This window comes from Homo sapiens, chromosome 18, assembly GCF_000001405.40.
Source record: "Homo sapiens chromosome 18, GRCh38.p14 Primary Assembly".
In the NCBI taxonomy this organism is placed as follows: domain Eukaryota; kingdom Metazoa; phylum Chordata; class Mammalia; order Primates; family Hominidae; genus Homo; species Homo sapiens.
The window spans coordinates 76,041,302-76,060,984 of record NC_000018.10 but is presented as its reverse complement, the minus strand read 5'-3'; the positions used below and the strand labels follow the sequence as shown (position 1 = coordinate 76,060,984).

The 19,683-nt window shown below is 43.2% G+C and overlaps 1 protein-coding gene and 1 long non-coding RNA gene across 2 annotated transcripts, besides 1 other annotated feature; both read left to right on the top strand.

The window, feature by feature from the left end:
* Positions 1–4,438: 4,438 nt before the first annotated feature.
* Positions 4,439–7,234, top strand: LOC105372204 (uncharacterized). Its single transcript, XM_011526288.3, has 2 exons — positions 4,439–4,663; positions 5,056–7,234. The coding sequence occupies exon 2, from the start codon at positions 5,210–5,212 to the stop codon at positions 5,954–5,956; it is 747 nt and encodes a 248-aa protein (XP_011524590.1). The 5' UTR covers positions 4,439–4,663; positions 5,056–5,209; the 3' UTR covers positions 5,957–7,234.
* Positions 5,009–6,208: an enhancer, noted in NCBI's record as "MED14-independent group 3 enhancer chr18:73766732-73767931 (GRCh37/hg19 assembly coordinates)". NCBI's record gives its function as "activates an origin of replication core promoter dependent on BRD2, BRD4, P300/CBP and CDK7 cofactors, and independent of MED14, by STARR-seq in HCT116 cells {active_cell/tissue: HCT116}" and the evidence as "EXISTENCE:reporter gene assay evidence [ECO:0000049][PMID:35650434]".
* A 1,560-nt stretch (positions 7,235–8,794) lies between the features above and the next one.
* On the top strand, positions 8,795–10,379 carry LOC124904339 (uncharacterized). Its single transcript, XR_007066434.1, has 2 exons — positions 8,795–8,982; positions 9,353–10,379. It is a non-coding gene; the product is annotated as an uncharacterized LOC124904339 (long non-coding RNA).
* The last annotated feature ends 9,304 nt before the right edge of the window (positions 10,380–19,683 follow it).

The following is a 19,683-nucleotide window of genomic DNA, read 5'->3' as shown; positions in this document are numbered from 1 at the left end:
AAGTAGAGACACAGAGACAGAAAACAGATTAGTGATTCTGAGGGATTTGTAGGCAGGGTGATTGGCAATTAACTTATACATGGGTATGAGACCTCCTTTTAGGGTGATGAAAAATATTTTGGAACTAGATAGAGGAGGTAGTTGCAGTACACTGTGAAGGTACTAAGTGCCACTGAATGGTCCACTTTGAAATGATTAATTTCATGTTATAAACATTTCACTTTAATTAAGAAACAGTAACAAATATTTGAATGAAATTCAAAGAGAAATTCACAAAATGTAAAATATCATAAATATGAAACAAACACAATCCCATACTAACAAAACATTGGAAATCAGGGTGCTGTCCGAAGATTGTTGAGTGAAATTTAGCAATCCTAGAACTTAGGTTCTCTCTGCCCCGGGGGAGTGTGTGAATCTTACTTTCCTCAAGAATTTCCAAGGCTTTTGAACCAACATTGCAAAGTGTCATCAGATCCTGCATCTATTGAAGGTTCAGAGTAACAGCTAACTTTCATTGAGCACTACTTTGTTTGGGACACTGTCTTAAGGGATTGGCATATAATGTCTCATTTAATCTTCACAGTTATGTTCTAAATTAGTTGCTCTCATTCACCCCATTTTAAATATGAGGCTATCAAGGCAGAGAGAAGTTAAACAGCCTGTTGGTCCTGCGGCTACAGATTGAGAGCTCCAGATCTGGTACTTGGACCACTCAACTCCTCTGCTTCTGTGGAGCATTCCTATTGTTGGTTCCAGGACCCACGCTAGAAAAGACACACAGGCAAAACACGGGGCACTCCCTTCGCTTTCCACTGAACACTCGCTCAGTATCATGAGGGAGTATATAAAAATCGTATCATTTTTGTTTGATTTCTCAGTGTACCCAAGCTTCAAAAACTGGTCATTTCTCCTTCCTCATGGCCATTCTACTTTTAAGGAGCCAGCAAAAATTCACTTCTGACCCAGAGTTTTCGTTTGGGCTTAGCATCTGAATACTTTTATCATTGCAAATATACAGCACTGGTCATTTTGTGTATTTAGAGAAAACTGCAAAATAATAGAAACATAGATATTTTAAAATGGGAAATTAAGATTTCCATTTGGAAACCTAAGTTAAGTGTACATTAGTGAGTGTCTTAGTGTTGATTGGGATGTGATAACAAACTATCATAAACTGGGTGACTTATAACCTTATAACCAGCAAAAATGTCTTTCTCACAGTTCTGGAAGCTGGGAGGTCCCAGATCAAGGCACCAGCAGCTTCAGTGTTTGGTGAGGGCTGTTTCCTGGTTCATATATGGCCATCTTCTCACGTGGTGGAAGGAAGGGTTACCGATGAGGGTTCTGGGACTTCTTACATAAAGGCACGAATTCCGTTCATGATGGGTCCATCTCCATAATCTAATCACTGGGAGTGACTATTTCAACATATGAATTTGGGGGCTACACAAAAATTCAGACCATAGCAGTAAGTGGCAGTGTGTTCCTGGTATGACCTGTGCTTTCTGGTTGCAAATTCTAAACAGATGTTAACGTGTCTATTTGAGGGTTGTTTGTTTCATGAGAAGGTGGCATAAATAAATCTACATTTTGTTGTTGTTGTTGTTTTGTTTTTTACAGGTGAAATCTTAGTTATATCTATTGAAGGAGAATTTTTCTGGATAAAAGTTATTGCCTAGGATAAAGTGAGCTTTCTCCCTTTCTGTGGTAGGGTATTAGTTTCCTACGCTTCTGCAACATTACCACAACCCGGTGGCTGATGACAACATAAATTCATCCTCTCAGAGTTCTGAAGGACAGAAGTCTGATATCAAGGTTTCTGCAGGACCCTGCTTCTCATGGGGGCTCTAGGGGAGTGTCCTTCCTTGCCTCTCCCGCTTCTGGTGGCTCCAAGTGTTCCTTGGCTTGTGGCAACCTCACTCCCATCTCTCCCTCTGTCTCTGTATAGCTTTCTCTTCTCTGTCCCAAACCTTACTCCACCTTTCTTTTCAAGGACACTCATCATTGATTTAGGTCCTGATCAGATAGTCCAGGATGACCACATCTTAAGATCCTTAACTTAATTACACCTGCAGAGAGACTTTTTCTAAATAAGGTCCTTCTTTGCACATTTATAAGTTCTGGGGGTTGGGACGTGGACACATCCCTTTGGGGGCCTGCACCCTACCCTGCAGGTGGTAACTGAGTTTAGAAAACAGTTGGGTGTGCTCTCGGCCGCTGTTTCCTCCCGGCTACTAGGCCAGCAGGTCCTCTGAGGGGGCTGCACGCCCTGCCCGCAGGCTCGGGGAAGCCACCTCAGAGGACGCCTCAGGAAATGAGGCTGTTTCCAAACAGTTGCATCAGTGTGATTTTTCTGAAACCACATTCTGGTTTCAGCTTTATATATGTGAAAACCCTGGATTTACAATCCGGTAATAACTCTGGAGCGTCCAAGGACTCACAGGGTATGAACTGAGTCCGCAACCACAAGGTGCCTTGCAGTCACACACTCTGCGTCCCATGTCAGATGCCACCTCTGACAACAAGGAGATGAGAGTCACCGGGGCTTTTGAGAAGGAACAACGACCAAGACAGAAAGTCTTAAAGAGGAAGGCCTCCCTTGTTCCCACGAGAACATCACCCTCAATCCCACACATGTGCACTCGTGTGTATGCGTGTGCATGTGGACAAGGCAATTCATATGATAGAGAAGGCGTGAGTTAGTTCTCTCTCATCCCACATTCAAGAATATCATTCTATTATCTTCATCACGTTTACTTTCTAGCATCTTCCAGAGCCCCCCTGCTCGGTGATGGGCCTCAAGTGTCACCCTCAGCTGGGAAGGCTTCCCTTTTCCCTTGTTGAAATATCTCTCCTTAAATCTCTGCTCTTGGGGGTGCCTTTGCTCTTATATTAAGAGGGGACATAGGAGGCTGATCAGACAAAACGTCCCTTGATTTTATGTCAGGATCACGTGTGCACCTGTCGGAGCTATAAGATGCCGTTCAGTGAACTAGAGACAGAGCTGGGGTGCAGGAGGAAATGGGTTAGGTTGTGAGTACATGTCAGTAGCTTTTAAGTATCTGTATACCCCCTCCTCTATGCACGCACCCGGCTGGCTCCAAATGCCTCTTACCAAGGCCGGCATCACACGTTTAGTTTATTAACTACCTACCATCCTTGCAGCTGCTCTGGGCGCTGCTGTGCATGCTGCCTCGGAGCCCATGAAGCTATTCCATCCCAGCCACGAGGGTTTTTGTTCCTCGTGTTCCTCGTGCTAAATCAGGGTGTGATTTAGCATCCAGGCTGTGATTTAATGCTAATGCCACTAATGTCAGAGACGGCCATCCTGGAAACGAATGAGGAATTCGGAGAACAGCTCCAAGATTTCCCCGGGTGGCGCCGAGATGAGTGGATTGGCTGGAAGCCGAGGGGCCCGCTCTGTGTCATTTGGGGAAGAATATCTTCCGACACTGCCCATGAACCCCCTAAAAGTCTAGGCGCTCTCGAAAGTGTTGTGAAATATCTTAGTGATCTCCGCGACTACTGGCTGCAAGATTGGAGGAGAAGGGGAACTATTATTGATATATTATTACCTAGCCCATACTCAGCCACAATTATTAGATAATCTCTGAAAAGTGGACTTCCAGGGTAGAAATTAAACACCGGCGAGCAGCTGTTGAAGGAAAATCGGTTTCCCATTGGATTTCTTTTTCTTTTAATGCCGATGCTGGTGGCTGGTCCGACTCCTCATTGGTATTAAAGTTCTCGTGTCAGTGCTGGACCGGAAGAGATTGATACCCAGCGTAGGCGTCAACTCCGATTTGCACGAAGACCGCAGTGCACCCGTGTTTGCTTGGTACCAGGCCCGGGGTTGGCTTGACTGGGGAAAATATTTCATTTACATGCTTGTGTTTAAAAAGGTAGCCATTCTGAGTGATGGAAACATGCACCGGCTGTTCCTAACAGTCCCGGTATAATATCCAGTAGATTGTGCTATTGGGAATGAATCAGGCGCTGGAGCGCTGACAAAATGCTGGAGCACGTGATCCTGTATTTACAGTACACTATCTCATTTTTAATAGAACTTGTCCAGGAAAGTCTTCCAAAGAAGTTTCAATCGGCTGGCCTCCTTCTAGCAGCTGTGGGGATTAATATTCCGAACAGATCTATAATTTTAGGTCTCTAGTGCAATTTTACTAACTCACTCCATCCTTCCTCCTCGTCCCCTCCCCCGTACTCCATCAGGGACTCTATGCTCTCTCGTCTCCCTTTCTCCAAGTCTCTCCCACCCACATACCCTGAAATTACTCCTCCTGTCCAAATGGAATTCGGTGAAGGATTTCTCAATATCTGTGACCGAGCCATGCTCCGGCCCCTGGCCAGCTTAAGCTGACTTGCAAGAAGTAAGATATGCACATGGATTTTTCCTGAAGCACATAACAGCTTAAGATGCCTTACTTTTTTCTTTAGATGGTTTTATTTACTTTTTTTTATTAGTTTTGGGGAAGTGATGAGAATCTCACAATTGCGGGAATTTCTAGCTCGCAGATGCTGAGTCTTTTCCGTGGTTAACGTCATGATAGTAATAACGAGAATGCTGATACTAATAACGACAGCCCTTATATGTTGGAAAATGCATAAAAATAAAGATAAACAAGGAATGGAGAATGAAAACATGGTGAGTATCAGGGACAAGGCTCAGAGAACTCCCTGATAAAATGGAGCAATTTTCAAAACATTTATGGGGGCTTTTAAGAACTGTGAATTTGTCAAGTGTTATGAAGCAGCAAGCAGCGGGCAATAGAGGGAATGTCTTTAGAAAAAAAAGGGCCCTGGTGTTCGCCAAAAATCTGTGCAGGAGTTCTTCCTAATGCCTGGCCCCCTCAGCAATATGAGCAGAGATTTGGACGATCTTCCTCTTCTACAGTTAGCAGGGTAATTTAACGAGCTGTTTAGAATTATCAAATGTCTTTGAAATTACCAAATGTCTTTGAAATTTTCAAATATCCTTTCCTGAAAATAGCACATGAAATGACTCAGGTATTATTCTTTTTTTTTTCCCTCCCCTAGGCACTGTCCCTACTGCGCTATTATCTGTGGATGTGATTTACTTCAGCTCTTCCAAACAGACAACCGTCTGAACAACACAAGGATGTGGCCAGCACCCAAACAGACCACACTCCTCTGAAGCAGGAGGGCAGTCATCATTCACCAGTTACTCCTAATGTCGAAAATGTATGCAATTTGGACCATGGCGCCTGATCGAGGTAAACTAAATAGCACCATGAACTCACAGCATAGTGAACTATCCACACGGCAGTCGGAGACAAGCACATTTGCAATTTTTCTGAGATTTGCCAGAATCGGAATGACTCAATCCACGGAAGATAATGGATGTGAGTATGGGAAATGGAGCTGTAAGAACGGAAGGCCGCCTTGTTTCCTCTGTTCCCATGCCTGTGGGGTTCACGCTTTAATTCAGGAAGATGTGCCAAGGAAAGGCGTTGCTCTCACCGGTCAGGGTCCAAGGCTCCGGGCCACCATTAATGTCTCGTTGCACACCAATGGCGTTCCCGGGGAGCTTATCTGGCACTGCAAGAGCAAAGCAGCTCTGCTGCAAATCCACCTGACTCAGAAAGCTCTTGACGACCCAGAGCAGTTGGTTCTGCTGTCCTCCACCTCACACTTTCCGGAGGACTTGGGACAGTACGTACACGTGAATCCGCATGTGCCCACACTTGGGGCTGTACATACACGTGTATCTTCATGTGCTCACACTTGGGGCTGTACACACACGTGTATCTTCATGTGCTCACACTTGGGGCTGTACACACATGTGTACATACTTGGGGCTGTATGTACATGTGCCCACACTTGGGGCTGTACGTACATGTGTATCTGTGTCTGCCTACACTTGGGACTGCGGATTGTAACACACCAAGTGACTGCAAGGGACCCCAACAGAGGATAGTGCAGCTCTGCGTTCTCATTTCTGACACTCTCTCTTCTTATTTCAACAGTGACTTCATTTGTGTGAAACAGTCTAATGTCAGTGTGGTTCTTCTATGACACCTGGTATGTTATTGTCACATTGTCATCAGGATCATATAAGAAAATGTCGATTGGGAAGAAACTCTGCAGCTAGTTAAAAAATTCTTTTAAGAGGCTCCCTTTCCGTTGATTCTAATTCCTGTACACCTACAAGGTCATTTCTCATGAGTGAGATGCTCCTGTCCCTGTCCCACCTTGACAGGGGGTGGGAGAAGGCCTCTGAGGTCTCAGTGCTCACCCAGGCCTGCCCCATACTTTTATCTGTGGTATCAGCCATTTATTACCACCAGGTCTCCGGTTTAGTCCCCTGCTGACTTGGCATCTCTGGATTACATACACTGCCTTACAATTTTCAGGTCAATTTGTGATTGAAGGGATGATTATTTTTGTGCTTATCTTTGGGAATGACATTTACTTTAACTGGGGTCTGCAGAAACTTTAGAGTGGACTTCCGGCCTGGCTTGGTGCAGTCCCTCCATCTACAGGCTTGGATTTTTCAGGGTCTCAGAGTTGGTCTGGCTCAAGAACACTGACTCGTGTTAGCACATCTCAGAGGAGACTGACACAGGAAACCAGAGTGCCAGTTCATTAATTTACAGTGAGTAATATAAGTGTCAAGTGGACCAGATGTTGGCTTCATCCTGACCAACACATTCTCTCCCTGTAGGCAAGCTACTTGGGAAGTCAAACAATCAGAAGGATGCTTGGGGAACAGGCAGTCAGAACAGGAGCACGGAGTTTGATGATTCCAACGTCCAGCCACACGAATGGTACACAAAGGCTGTTCAGACCCCTCATTGGAAGCCGGAACAGGAGCTGTTGCTCTGTAATTAGCGTATCACGTGCAACTCCGAGCTGCTCACCTTCTGATACCTGGCTGCCCTCACCTTGTCTGCATCCCAAGGCACAATGGAAGTGAGCGTCTGGCCTGCCATGGGTGTACGGGGTATGTGGTGCAATATTTGTGAGCATCATGTACACAAATAGTGTACACAAATGGTATTTGGCTAAGAGACACTAGCCACAAAATAAAAAATATACCTAAGAATTATCTGATATGAATTTGCACATCCCTATCAACCAGCAAAATGTTACAATCAACCAGCAATACACAGTTTTTTAGTAACGCAGATCATTGCCAGCTTCACTCATGTTAATTCGTGGCTCAGGTCCGCAGTAAGATATACCTGTTAGGCAGGGCAGGCGCTGGGGCTGGGGGCAGAGGACTCGCTCCCAGGGTCGGTACTTAGGTGGGCTTTGCAGCAGTTTCCCCACATAACTGTTCTTTCTGGTGCTTCCATTTTAGGCCTGCATCGTGTCATACCAAAGGGCCTTCTCGCCCTGAGATGTGTTTGACAAGCCTGCTTTTAATTCATGCTGGATGTGAAGGCAGTCCATCTCGTTGATGGAGTTTTGTTTTGTTTAGCTCTGATCATGCTGTGTTGGTGGTGTAGCTTAATTCTCAAAGCGAAAACTGATTTCCAGGTTCTTAAAGAGCACTCCTGCATGGCTTCCAGGGTGCCACCCCCTGCCCCCGCATCTGCACGAGCCCCTTCTCATTCTTTATTCTTTTACGCACTCCCTGTGATTAATCTGGCTGCTACTCCAGTGCCCATGACTTGGGTCTGCCTCAGCCACCTCCAGCCCCCAACATCCCCACATCTTTCTCATCAGAGGGTGGTGGCACCTTTGCTGCTCATGGTCCAGGGTTGTCACAAGGATCAGATGGCAAACAAAGCACAGTGCTGTGAAATCTGTGCAGAGAGAAGAGATTCCAATTTCTTTTCTTAAAAAATAAATATGGCTGCTGGGCTTGATTTTCTTCATTTCAGAATGTCTTGGTGGGACCCAAGAGAAAGGTGGAAAAAGAGTTTAAAACAACTTCGACTGCAAGCCCGTTTCCATGAAGTTCCTCAAGACTTTTGTATGTTAGTAAATCTCTCCACGTGACCTCATTTGGCATAATCTTATCTTTTAGTTTGGTAGAAGTGCTTTAAGATTTGATCACAGACATCTTTTTCACAGATATCCTATTCACTAACACCCTAGTGTACAGAAGTGAAGTTTGGCTAAGAGACAGTAGCCACAAAATAAAAAATATACCTAAGAATTATCTGATATGAACTTGCAAATGCCTATCAACCAGCAAAATGTTACAATCAACCAGCAATACACAGTTGTTTAGTAATGCAGATCATTGCCAGCTTCACTCATGTTAATTCGTGGCTCGGGTCCTTAGACTTTGACTTTATCTTCCATTTTGGGAAACTTTGCTGAACTTTAACCCAGGCTCTGTATCCACCAATGCATTGCCTTGAAGCCTGTTTCAGTTTACCTAGCCCTCAATGGGCATCCACCTGCTTACTGTTCCTCTGAATACCAGCCTTCACGGAAACTACACCAGGAGATAATTAGTCACGCTAACAACCTCGGAAAGCACTGACGAGGCTGTTCAGACCCCTCATTGGAAGCCGGAACAGGAGCTGTTGCTCTGTAATTAGTGTATCAGGTGTAACTCCGAGCTGTTCACCTTCTGATACCTGGCTGCCCTCACCTTGTCTGCATCCCACGGCACAATGGAAGTGAGCGTCTGGCCTGCCATGGGTGTACGGGGTGTGTGGTGCAATATTTGTGAGCATCATGTACCTGCAACTCTCATTAATTAAAAAGACAGCTGGTACCCTAAAAAAAAAGAGGCACAATTCATTTAATGACAGGTATTTTAAATATGTATGCTAATTTCAGGTTTTTCCTTTCATCCCCCGGAAGCACAGACGTGGAAGGAGGCTGCTGGAAGGAAGTGTGTGAGATGAGCTTATTTGTGAGTGAGCAGGAGGGAAGGGGTGGTGAACTTTCCTCCCAGGACGAGATGTGTGCCTGCACTTCTCAGCCGTGAGTGTCGGGAACCAGTCCTGGAGAAACATGACAAATCGCTTCCCTGCGAAGGTACATACCCTTTCCCTTTAGGAACAGTTGTGTCCTATTCTCTGCGATAGAAAACCATCAAAGTCTTTTTTGACATCTCTGACATGAAATAGTGAAGACAGTGCAGAAAGATGCTGTCTTGTACCTAATGACCTTGTGCGGAGAGGGGAACAGACACAGCTCATTAGAGTGATTTAATGTGGTATTTTGTTAAAACTAAATCAAAATAATCTATGGAATGTGGCTGAGATTCATCTGAACTTGAACACACAGGACTGCGCTTTATCTCTTTGTTTTCATTTTGCAGCTAAATGGAATTCTAAATTTGAAATACTACAGAACAGGATGCTTTCCAAATTAAAAAAAAATCCTTTTTTTTTTTCCAAAACAGGCTCGCAATCTTGGGATAACTGCATAGCAGGAAATAAACAAGACTTGGCTCTATATTCGAAGCCTCAGTACAAACAGAACCTAAAAGACAGACAGAAAGAAAATGATACATATAAATACATGCATGAAATGGCGGAGGGGAGAAGACTATCTCAGAAAGAAAACCCAGAAACATAGTGCGGGAATGCTCACAAACCCAAATTAGCTGCAGCTTCAATACAGTTAACTATTGTTTCCTTTTGGAAAGAATTTTATTATTCTGTTTTCCTCATCTCTTCCAAAAGAAAGAGCTTCGAGCAGCATCTGCAAATTGCTGGTAGGGAAATCCTTGATCTTTACCCCTATTGAGATTGTCAAAAGATACCAAAAGCTGGAATCTGTGCTTTATAAAGTTAATGTTTTCTGGAAATTGCAGCAATACAGAAAGCAGCCTTTCCCCTGCTTTCAACAGTGTTTGAGAGGATTCTGAAACTCTCTGTAGGCGAAAAAGAAGCCACCAAACTGACTCTGTTTCAAATTTCTACTCTAAGTTATTTCTCCTGTTCGTGTGAACCCTGGGACAGAACGGGTGTGTATTCATTTTAACCTTAGCTCAGATGGACAGCTCCAGGTGTGTAAGTGGGTTGGTGGTGGCTGCCCAGAGAGGAGGAGATATTTCAGATTTGGTTTCTCCAAGGTTGCACCATTGATTGCATTCCATGTACATTATGATCCCAAAGTGTGTTTAATCGAGAGCTACACAACAGTGCAAAGTGGCGGATGTTAATGTTGACTAGAACTTAACCTATACGTTTTGAGTGCCTTCCTGGGGCCTGGATTTTAACTGAGCATCGTTAATGTGATGAATTTCTCACTGTTAATTAAATGTTATAATGAGTCTTCAATACTTTTAAAACCAGAAGAGAAGTATTCTGTGAGAAAACTTTATATATGTTTAAAAAACAAAAGAATTCCATCTTTCTGTTGACACTTTCCCCACACCTTTGTGCGGCATTTTCTAAAAGAGAATAAAATAACAGCAAAATGTCTCATTTTTCTCAAAAGCTAAGTTGCCTTTACACACCTGTAAAAAAACAGTACTGAAAATTGATGAGTAAATTGAGGAACATATTTAAATGCACACGTATTTTTTATTATATTATATTATATTATATTATTATTATACTTTAAGTTTTAAGGGTACATGTGCACAATGTGCAGGTTTGTTACATATGTATACATGTGCCATGTTGGTGTGCTGCACCCATTAACTCTTCATTAACATTAGGTATATCTCCTAATGCTAACCTTCCCCACTCCCCCCGCCCCACAACAGTCCCTGGTGTGTGATGTTCCCCTTCCTGTGTCCGTGTGTTCTCATTGTTCAACTCCCACCTATGAGTGAGAACATGCGGTGTTTGGTTTTTTGTCCTTGTGATAGTTTGCTGAGAATGATGGTTTCCAGATTCATCCATGTCCCTACAAAGGACATGAACTCATCATTTTTTACGGCTGCATAGTATTCCATGGTGTATATGTGCCACATTTTCTTAATCCAGTCTATTGTTGTTGGACATTTAGGTTGGTTTCAAGTCTTTGCTATTGTGAATAGTGCCACTATAAACATACATGTGCGTGTGTCTTTATAGCACCATGATTTATAATCCTTTGGGTATATACCCAGTAATGGGATGGCTGGGTCAAATGGTATTTCTAGTTCTAGATCCCTGAGGAATCACCACACTGACTTCCACAATGGTTGAACTAGTTTATAGTCCCACCAACAGTGTAAAAGTATTCCTAGTTCTCCACATCCTCTCCAGCACCTGTTGTTTCCTGACTTTTTAATGATCGCCATTCTAACTGGTGTGAGATGGTATCTCATTGTAAATACACACATATTTTAAGATTACCACAACTAATGAAATGTAAGGCTCATTGCCTTACGTTTGTGTTTAACACTGTGTCTAACTAGGGGCATCTCCAACTTTTCTAAACATTTGCAGACAGCCGTGTTCGTGCACAGGTAATTGCTCATCTCAGAACAGTGCCCCTGAGCCAACTGGAGCAAGGACTTAGTGCCTTTTAGAAAGGATTCAAGGTCATGGCTTATCACAGATGCCCTGCTAATGAACATCTTACAGATCATCCTAGGATGCAAGAAAAACAATCTCTCAAAATTTCAGAGGGACCACTGGAAATCAGCCATTTGGGAGTTTGGGTTGAACTGACTGTTTCTTCAATGAGCCAACTACTGTACATTCAGCCTAAAACCGTTAGATGGTGAGGAGTAAACATGTCCATTCCTGGGGTCCTCATTCCACGCCATGCCAGCCACGATTGTGCTTGTGCACTCAGGAAAGAAAGGCTATGGCTGTTTCTTAAGAGCGGCCCATCCTGATGACACAGTGCAGGTTCTGAACTGGACCTGGTGAACATCACTGATGAGCAATCCCGCTGAGCATGGGAAGAGAAGGGATCTTAATCCGAGCACCTTGCTTAGCACTGGTGACCTCCTCCAGGACGTGGAAGAAAAAAAGGAGAGCGCGGCAGCCCGGGATCCCCTCTGGCCCTTTGCACTGCTGTCTTCTAATCCGTGTGCATCCTGGTGGTCATCAGTTTGATCCGTTCGGTAAGCAATCAATCTTTTTTCAATGGTGTGATTTTACAGGATATGATAGGAAAACTGAAATGGCTCCAGCTTGGGTCCTAAGGTAGGACCTATGATAATTGTTTAAAATAAAATTGTGGGACCTTTTATTTTGAACGTGCATAAGGTTAAAAGTCAAAAGGTGGGGGGATGCATAACAGGGGAAAGAAGGGGCTGGAGAGAAAACATTCCCTGTTGGATTGGCTCATCTTTTTTTAAATGACAGTCACCATTCTTGAGGTTACAGTGATTTTTTTCATCTCTAGGCCTTCACGTGATTTTCAAGGACAAGTTAATTTCCAACTTTTCAGTCCTTGCATCCATCACACATGACTCTGCCTGCCAGGGTTTTAACAACAGGGCATGACAGTAATAAAAACAACAGCAACAATGGCTACCACGAATCACTCCTCCATTCATCCCCCTTTGTAAAGTCCTCGCTCCACGGCAGGCTCTGTTCTAGGTACAGGGAACCCAAAAGGAAACAAGAAGGTAAAAGCTGCTTTTTCTCGTGGAGCTTGTGTTCTTGTGGAGCAGACAACCGACAAATCAGCCTCTACTAGTTCTATGGCCCCGCGTCGAGTGCCAGCCACGCCCTCAGACACCTCTTCAATCAACGTGTCTTTAATCCACACACGACTGTGCTGATGAAGGTGTATCGCCTACTTAGCAGATGAGGTCACTGACATTTAGAGAGGTGAGGGCCAGTCCCCAGGTCAACAGGTGGAGTGTGGAGCCCTGCCACTTTGACTTCAGGTTGCACGCCTTTATAACTGTTTCTGTAAGGGAGCCGTCTGGTCTCCCTTGGTTCCTCTGTGCTGTTGTGTTTTTTTTTTTTTTTTTTTGAGACAGAGTCTTGCACTGTTGCCCGAGCTGGAGTGCAATGGTGCGAACTCGGCTCACTGCAACCTCTGCCTCCCAGGTTCAAGTGATGCTCCTACCTCAGCCTCCCGAGTAGCTGGGATTACAGGCACCCGCCACCACACCTGGCTAATTTTTTTTGTATTTTTAGTGGAGATGGGGTGTCACTATGTTGGCCAGACTTGTCTCGAACTCCTGACCTCGTGATCCACCCGCCTCGCCCTCCCAAAGTGTTGGGATTACAGGCATGAGCCACCACGCCTGGTCTCTCTGTGCTCTTATGAGTGGGTGTTCGCATTCCTGTCCTGGTGTCCTTATTGCTCCCCACCCTCTCAAGCAATGTCTAAAGCAGGTGGCCTTGGCATTAGCTTCTTTGATTCCCTCCTGAACTTTCCCCATGAGCCCGGGATTGCAGTGGCCATTGCACTCTAAAATGGAAATGCTCTTGGCCCGCTTCTGAGGTGTTCACAGAGTGGGAAGGAAGAAAGACAGATAAGTAAACAACAGCACAGCTAGGTGATCAGAGCTAAAATGGGGATGTGCACACTGCTATGGAAACATAAATGAAGGTGTTTTCATTATCTTAATTACCCTGGCTCCCTAATTCGATTATGCACTATTGGCGGCAGGTGCCACATTTTTTCCTTGTTTTTCCCCAAGTGCCTAGGATAGCATTTACACCCAGTCAGTGCTTAAAAATATTTGTGAATTGATTAAGCAAACTTGGCAAGTCAGACTTTCTTTTTCCTGCCTTTACTTCTTCTCTCAGTTTGATGCTTTCAAAAATTATCCTTGATGCTTCTTTCTTCCCATTTTTTTGCTGTAGTGATGAATATTATTTCCATGAGTACAATTGTGTTGCCAAGGTTTTCTAACATTTGGCTAAATTTCAAAAACTAAGCCATTCAGGTGATCAAAACACTGCAAAATTCATCAGCTAAGGGGGATTTTTACTCTCTACCCCAATAAACCTAGCTAGGGACACCACAATTGTTGTTCAGATTGTTTGGTGGCCAAGAGCCTGGTGGAGACTGAGGTCTGTATGGAGTTCTGCCAGTATAACCCTGCTTCCCAGGATGGGGACTGCACTTTGAAATTAGAGAGTTTTAATCTAATTTTCCCAAAGATGCTGTAAGGGCTATTGGTTACTCCACACCTACAGCTTTATAACTTAATGTAAATAAACTGGAGTGTGAAAGACAAGAAGAATTGAAAAACTGTCATCAGGCTACCATAGGCATCTGCTGTTATGGTAGCAAGCCCCACACATGGACTGTGACTACCAACTCAACACCATATATGTTACTTTGGTAACGTGAATTTCTAGACACTCCCCCAAAACACCATGTATGTTACTTTGGTAGCATGTGAATTTCTAGACACTCCCCCGAAACAAAATCTTTAAGGACAGGGCCTAGACGTGGTGCATTTTTGTGTAATTGCTGAATAATTCTTAAGCATCTCATTCATTGAGAATCTTGCTGTCTTCCAAGAAGATAGGTTGTCCACAGTAAAATTTCAGAGAAGAATCATTACATTGGATGTCGGGAAAAGATGGTCTGGAACTGAAGGGAGATTTGATAAAGACAAAGAGAAACATAAACATGGCAGATGTTCTGGCGTGAAGCAAAGGGATTTTAATGTGGGGGCTTAGTATTGAGATAAGAGACGAGAAAAGTTTTCACATATCTAGTGAGTTGAAAGAAGGGTGATATTGAAATATTGTGAAATGAGGATTATTTACCAGATAATTTTCAATTCCACAGAGCCACAAAAATTTTAGGTTGATGAGAATTTTCTTTAACTTGATATGTTAGACTCGTTCTTATCAAAGTACTACTTGTAATTTTCCCAGCATCAAGGGCCTTTTCAGCCATCTCAGAGCAAGAATTCTTCTTACAATATTGAAAAGAGACTCCAGCAATGAAATCCTCTGAACTTTCCATGACGTTCAAGGGCACCTGCCACTTTCCAGAACCAACACAAGTATTCTTACCTGGCCAGGAACAACTAGCCATGTGGTTGGCAGGGTCAGAGAATTGCATAGGGCCAGAGAGGTATTTTCAGGTGGGACACATGGCCATCTGAGGGCTGGCAAGTGACAAAGTTGGAGCTGTCCCCTAATATGAGTCTGCAGAAGAGCTCAGCAGGAGCCCCTGTGCTCCCAGGCCCCCTCTGCTCTTAGAAGAGCCTCCATGATGGCCTGGATGCTTCTTCCTCTTCATCCACTTTCTTCCAGCTTGACCTGGGACACCTCCTTGGGGCTCCTCAACTTTGTTTCAGCTGGTCACCAGCAGCCCTTGCAGGCACAGAGCAAGTAGCAACCAGAAGCTTTTTGACTCTAAGGGGAAGAGAGTTTGAAAATGTTTTTCCTGCTTCAAGAAACTTTTCTTAAAAGATGAATTTGCTTATTACTTCTGGTGTCCAATCTCCTGCTGATTCCAGGCTCTTCAAAAGTTTAGAAATGAATTACAAGTCAAATGCAATGCTCCTAAAATTGGGCTTGTGTGTGTGTCTGTGTGGTTGTGATTGTGCAGGTGTGTGTGTATGTGACCTGAGACAAAGCTTTCCAGGTGGAGTTGACAAATGGCGATGACTTCCTGCATCCTTCAGCCTGGGTTTGGGTGTTCCTCTATCTGAAACATCCCAGCATTTTGCATTTCTCCAAAGCTGTGAGCAACTCCTTGCGAGACGGTTCTTGAGGGGCGTGTGCATGGGGATGGGGTGTGATCAGCCCTCCACATTTTGATATTTGCATCATCCATGCTGGGAAGCTGTTTAAAATACTGCATTTGAAGATTATGTTCTCTTTTTTGTAATTGTGGTTTTTAGGTGGGAATTTTCCCCAAGGAAATAGTTTTGAGAAGCTTATTTTAAATTCTGTAATTGTTAACCAGTGCTTTGAAACACTTATGATGAAGAATATCCGACTGTCTTGATTTTCATGGCTGGAAACATGAGTTCCCATAAGTCAAACACACCCACTGTGGCACGGGAAGATGAGGGCAAGTCCCCACAGGACATGAGCTCTTTGTCTACATCATCCCTCATCCCCATTGTGTCCCTATCACTAAAGGTGCTCGTTTGTGCTCAGCCAATTACCAGTGACATTTTTCAGGAGCCTAGAGTCTTCTGTAAGACCATAACCTTAAGCCTTCAGATAATTTTTTATTTCTAGTTAATATCTTCAGCAAAAAGAATAATTCCTTAGCTGTCTCTACTTGCCTGGTCATGAGAACACAAAGCCTGTGACGTGGCTGTTTCCCTCCTCTGCTTCATCCTGTGATCCCGGGCCCTGAGTTCCCATGCCTTTGCATTTTAGGTAGTTGGCTGTTTGGCCTTGGTTAATGATGCTTGGTTGCCATCATGGAAATGGCCAGATTAACGCCTATGGGGTTTATTAAACGTTTAGCAACATTGCATGGATACATTAAAATGGAGAAAATGGAGAATGCCCTTTCTTTTCTCTTTCTCTCTCTCTCTCTCTCTCTATCTCTATCTCTCTGTGTGTGTGTGTGTTTTAAGAACCAAAAGGCAAATTACAATTTTTTTTTAACTTTATTTTGGTTCAGGGGTACACATGCAGTTTCCTTACATGGGTAAACCCGTGTCATGGGGGTTTGTTGTACAGATTATTTCATCACCCAGGTACCTAGTATCCAGTAGTTATTTTTTTTTTGATGCTCTCCCTTCTCCCAACCTACGCCCTCAAGTACGTCCCAGTGTCTGTTGTTCCCCTCTTTGTGTCCACGTGTTCTCATCATTTAGCTCCCGCTTGTAAGTGAAAACATGCGGTATTTGGCTTTCTGTTTCTGCATTAGTTTGCTAAGGATGATGGCCTCCAGCTCTATCCACGTTCCTGCAAAGGACATGATCTCAGAGAACGCCTTTTCAATGTTAGCCTCATTCTTAATTCAACAACTCAGTATGTGCCTTTGAAAATCTGAAATTTGTTTAACTTTCCTTTAAAAGAAGACCATCAAGAATGTCACTTTTTAACAGTATCTTAAAAATCAACTTAAAATGATAGAAACAAAGTGAAATGAAATATTTAATATTTCTATTAAATGGTGTTCAGTCATATGTGCTTTAAAAACTAAGGTACATTAAAACAGCATTACCAAAAAATATACACATTACAATGTCTTGATTTCTAACTTCAGATCATAAATGTTCTAATTTCACATTATTATGTTAAAATTAAGACTATAAACATTGTTAATTATGACTTCATGTCAAGCCCACACACATTAATTCAGTGGTATCATTTCTGGTATATGGCGTACATTCGTATCTAGAAGAAGCTACATATTTATCTCTATTTCAGAATGTGAGATTAGACACTCGAGTACACTGATAAATAAGACAGACATCTCAGTCAATACTGGGCTATCTGTGTATCTAATAGTTCTTATTAGGGCCCTGTTTAACCTTATTTTATGGTACTGCTGAGGGAATGTCACACAAAGCTCACTGCTGTGGGGCAAGAAGAGAAACCAATAGGTGGGTAAGTTCCTGTGGGCCCCTGAGGCGTTGCTAACAAATAACTATGCTGATGATGCTAGTAACAATAATTATAGCCACTGCTATTTCTTAGAAATGGCAGGCATTATGTGACATGTGTTATATGCATTACCTTGTTTAAATATTATGACGACCAGATGAGGTAGGACATATTATTGTTCCGTCTTTATAGAGGTTAACTAATCGGAATGTAGGTTGGATGAAAGCAGGGATTTCTGTCTGTGTATGGACCACTGATCTTTGGGGTGGGCATTCCATAATCAAGTCGTTATTCAGTTTTGAAGAGTATGTACTCCAAGCCACACCCCCATAAGGATTTCCATCTCAGGTGGTCTGACCAGAAACCCTGGAGCTGAGGTGCTCCTCCTCTCATCCTATAGGTCCCCTTTCCATCCAGAGCCAGGAGAGTCTCTGCTGTCTTTCTCTAATGATGGTAGTTGCCTCTTGTCAACCTTGACCCCAGAGCATTAATGACTGGATTGTAATTTTCTTCCCTGGGGATTAGGAACCTACAGTCCTTCTCACTTCCATTTCTACTAAGTAAAAAAAAAAAGCAAGCCAAATATAATAACTACAGCTAATATTTATTAAATATCTATTACAAATCAGATACCACACTGTGACTCTATTATGTATGTAAGGAAATTTAATTTCTTCAACAACTCATTTGCCCTCTTACTCCTTCTTTGAAGTCATCATTATTCTCCATACAGAAGTTAGTAAATTGTGGGTGGGAGGTAAGGAAATTCCAGAGCCACTGATTGACCAGAGCTTGTATTCAACACTAAGCATACACTCTTTGTCCTACAATATGTTTTCTTCCAGTGCAGGGTTTTACATGCCCAAGTGGCTGATACTGGGTTTAGATAGCTATTTTTCCATGTTCTGATGATACGATTTTATCTGAACCTTATTCCCTAGTTTAAAGAATAATGGGGTGTGAGGAACAAAAATCCATCTGAGTGTTGACTGTCCTTGAAATCCCATTCTGCTTTCCAAAAATCAGATGCAGAAACCATATTTGTATAAGTAATTGCTCCCAATTCCTTTGAAACTAAAATTGAATAGAAAATACTAATCCAGAATAATAATAATGATGGCTAAAAATATAGTGCTTTCTCTCTGCTATGTACTGCTTTAATTGCTCTACAAATGGTTAAGTCAAACCAGCTCATGAGAAGTGTCCTAGTGTCAACATTTTTTTCTTTTGTAGATGAAGACACTAAGGTAGAGGGAGGTGAATTGATTTGTAGAAGGTGCCACTCTCGTCAGTGGCATTGGAGTGGGGGACTTGCACCTGCTACCTCTGGCTTAGGAGACCATGATTTAAGTAGTACGTGTTGTTGCCTTCGAATCACTGCAATAGAAGCTCCCGTGGCTTAAACAGAGATGAAGAACAAGTAGAGCTCAGAATTTTCAGGCAGCTTTACATCTAGATTAAAAGTTCGTTTCTTCCCTTCCTCCCTCCCTTCCGATAGCTGCTTCGGTCACTGTGCTAGGCTTCAGCAGGAACGAGATGACCATGACCCAGCAGCAGTCCTGAAGAAGCCGCAAGTTAGGGTCTAGTGAATACTCACACAACAGCAGAGGTGACCAGTGATAGCGATTTGCGCAGGTATTTTTAGAGCAAGGGATGGGGACTTCACTTGTGTTCTTTGTCACACTCCCTTCTATTCCAGAAAGAGGGCCTCCACTTGGGGGTTAACTACACTCACCATTCATGCATTTCTTTGGGGTCAGCTGGGAACCTATATTCCCTTCCCTGGCACTTCCACCTGTGCTTGGCTGGCTCAGTCTAGGACCTACCTTCTCCATGGCTTTTAAACAAGGACTCAGAGAGTTGAGTCATTTTCACTCTCTTGTGGCAGAAGATGAGAGTTTTCAGTAACTGATCAAGTTAGGAGTTGCCAGCAATCATGTTTTCTGTCTGGTCAATGCATTTGCAGAAAAGGAGAGTCACACGGATTGTCAGAGAGGAGCAGAGTTGCGAGATCATGTTGGTGGCATGAGTTCCTGATTGAAAGCCTATCTGATATTCAGCCAGATTCCAACCCTCGGAATCTACCTCCACCTTCCAGCCCTGAATCCTTGCAGTTAATTTTCATTTTTGCTTACTCTAGTGCATGTGGGATATGTTCCTTCCAACACAAACAGCCCTAATTCGGCTAATATAAATTTTTACCTAATAGAAAAAATTCCTAGTTCTTATTTTAGTTTATTTGGCTTCTAAGAATAAAATGTTCAATATATCCCATATTAATTCTGCTCTTACTGACTAGCAATTAGAAACCATATTCTAGCTCAGTCATGCCACCTTC

What these genes read in the sequence shown, in the direction of transcription:
- LOC105372204 (XM_011526288.3), top strand. Translation starts at nt 5,210, where the DNA reads ATGTCGAAAATGTATGCAATTTGGACCATGGCGCCTGATCGAGGTAAA.